The following is a 2,099-nucleotide window of genomic DNA, read 5'->3' as shown; positions in this document are numbered from 1 at the left end:
TGTAATCACCAGTGCTGAAGGTGGGAGGTGTTTCGGTCATGGGGGTGAACTTCGCATGACTTGGTCTATTTTTATGATAGTGAGTAAGTTCTCACAAGATCTTGCCATTTCAAAATTTGCAGCACCTTCCCCCAACTCTCTCTCTCCTGTTCTGGTCATGTGATGTGCCCGCTCCTGCTTCACCTTCCACCATGATTGAAAGTTCCCTGAGCCTTCACCAGAAGCCAAGTGGATGCCAGCACCATGCTTCCTGTAAATTCTGCAAATCATGAGCCAACAAAACCACTTTTCTTTATAAATTACCCAATCTCAGGTATTTCTTTATAGCAATGCAAGAATGGCATAATATATGATTACAGTTACCAATACCTTTTGATCAGGGGGTGGATTCATGTTAAATGTTCTTATCACACACAAAAAAAGTCAGTGTTGACCTAGTTGAAAAACTAGCTTATTTGTGACTCATGCTATATTAAAAAACAACTACTGAATAAATCAAGAGTGCTATTGTTTTTTCTGAGTGAAATTGTAATTGACCTATGTAACCCTTGTTTCAAATGTCCTTGTTAGAATTTTCAGAAAAATTTTAGTGGAGTATATTTTATAAACATCTCCTGACATTAACATAATTCTAGGGCTCATAGGGATGAATAAATCTAAATTCTGTCAAAATTTTAAAAAGAAAGAAAATTAAGAATGTAATTGCCTTTTAGCTCCAAATCTACCTTTACTTGTCCTGATTGTGTTACTGGAATGTTTCTCCTTTACCAGCAGACATGATGTTAAGCTCTTCTGTAGAAGGCGTGAAGGGACACTGAAGTTAAAACGGAGTTCTCTTCCCATTTCTGGCTGCTTTCATCTGCCTGGACATGCTGTGTGTGTGAAGTCTAGTAACAAGTAGGACGCCCAGTAGTGCTACTTCCCAGGCAGTACCATCATCAAAGGTATTTTGCCAGAAGGTTGCAAACAGAAGCATCCTCCCATAGATGCCCCCCACCCACAGAGTACTTCAGAGAGTGGTTTTCCAGCAAGTTCTAAAGTATAGCTCTTCCTTATGGATGGCTTCCCATGAGGACTAAGAGGGCAGAATCCAGAAGGCATTACATTGATTTCAAGAAATGTTTATTAAGCTATACTTTTAGTATTAGTATAAAGATGAACAAATAGATTAATGGAACAAAACAGAACACTCAGAAATAGAAACACATATGTATAATTAATTTTCTACAAAGCCTCAAGGCAATTTAATGGTAGAAGAATACTCTTTCCAATAATAATGCATTTGGATAGAAAAGAATCTTGAAATTTTTTCACACCATTTACAAAAATTAACTAGAGATGAATCACATCCTGCTTGTAAGAACTAATATTATTAAAAAGAACATTAGATAGAACCTTAGTGAGCTTGAATTTTTCAGAAACTTATTAAGTATGACAGAAAACACTTGAACTATAAAAGTCAAAGTCAATAAGTTGGACTTTATCAAAACCAAAGGAAACTTCTGCTCTTCAAAAGACATGGTAGAAAATTAAAAGCAAGTTACAATATAGTGAAAATATTTGCGTAATATACAAGTAACAAAAATATATATACCTGGAAAACATAAAGAACTCTTACATTTCAATTATGAAGACAAAGGAACTAATTAAAATATTGGAAAGAAGAAAATATGCCTCTAACTGAGGAATGGACAAAAGATCTGAAAAGACGCTCAACTAAAAAATATGTAGATGACCAATATACACACAAAAAAATATATTCAGTGTCTTCAGTCATCAAAAAAAACTTTTAATTCTAACCACAATTGGATACTATTATGCATCTACTTAATGTATGAAATTAAGACTAACACATTTTGTTGAGAATGTTAAGCAACTGGTAACTGTCATACGTTTCTGTTGAGAGTGTAAGAAAATAAAACCATTGTGTATATATACACAATGGTACAAAAAGAATGAACTGCGAAGTCACACACATAACGGATAAACCTCAAAAGTATGCTTAGTGATAAGAAGTTAGAAAGCAAATTGTTATTTTATTTTGATAAGATTCTTTATTGTCAAACTAAATTCTGGCAATAGAAAGCAAATCATTGGTT

The sequence above is a fragment of the Homo sapiens genome, chromosome 1 (genome assembly GCF_000001405.40).
Source record: "Homo sapiens chromosome 1, GRCh38.p14 Primary Assembly".
NCBI lineage: Eukaryota > Metazoa > Chordata > Mammalia > Primates > Hominidae > Homo > Homo sapiens.
The sequence above is the reverse complement of the archived record's forward strand: the minus strand, read 5'-3'. Positions refer to the sequence as shown.